The sequence below is a fragment of the Homo sapiens genome, chromosome 4 (genome assembly GCF_000001405.40).
Source record: "Homo sapiens chromosome 4, GRCh38.p14 Primary Assembly".
Classification (NCBI taxonomy): domain Eukaryota; kingdom Metazoa; phylum Chordata; class Mammalia; order Primates; family Hominidae; genus Homo; species Homo sapiens.
This window is the reverse complement of record NC_000004.12, coordinates 110,745,036-110,745,512: the sequence shown is the minus strand read 5'-3', so window position 1 is coordinate 110,745,512 and position 477 is coordinate 110,745,036. Positions and strand designations below refer to the sequence as shown.

The 477-nt window shown below is 36.1% G+C and overlaps 1 annotated feature.

Annotated features, from left to right (window-relative positions):
* Positions 1-170: an enhancer, noted in NCBI's record as "experimental_72035 CRE fragment used in MPRA reporter constructs". NCBI's record gives its function as "activates a minimal promoter by MPRAs in K562 erythroleukemia cells, with activity observed for both the introgressed and non-introgressed 4:111666584 variant alleles {active_cell/tissue: K562}" and the evidence as "EXISTENCE:reporter gene assay evidence [ECO:0000049][PMID:34662402]".

The following is a 477-nucleotide window of genomic DNA, read 5'->3' as shown; positions in this document are numbered from 1 at the left end:
TTCTCAGCAAACTAGGATTAGATAGGAGCTTCTTCAACTTGAGTTTTTTTTTTTTTAGAGAATCTGCAAAAGCCCACAGTTAATATCATATTCAATGGTTAAAAAAAAAATAGTTGCTTTCCCCCTAAGATCAGGAACAAGACAAAAAGGATGTTCTCTCTTATCTCTTACCACTCTTAGCCAATATTTTATTGGAAGTCCTACCCAATGAAATAATACAACTAAAGGAAAGACAAGGTATACAGATTGGGAAGGAAAAAATTAATAGTGCTCACCAATATTTCTGGTTCTCTCTTTTCTGCACATTCAAAGGTTTTACACTTTTCTATCGACTTAAAGGTAGCTTGCTTTGGCCAATGAAATATGAGTGAAGAGATGTGTATCAATTCCAGGCAGAAAGAAGCACTTAAGAGCTGGTGTGTGATTCCCATGTAGCTCCTTCTGCTGTGACAACTGCGAAAGCATTTCTTGAGATAG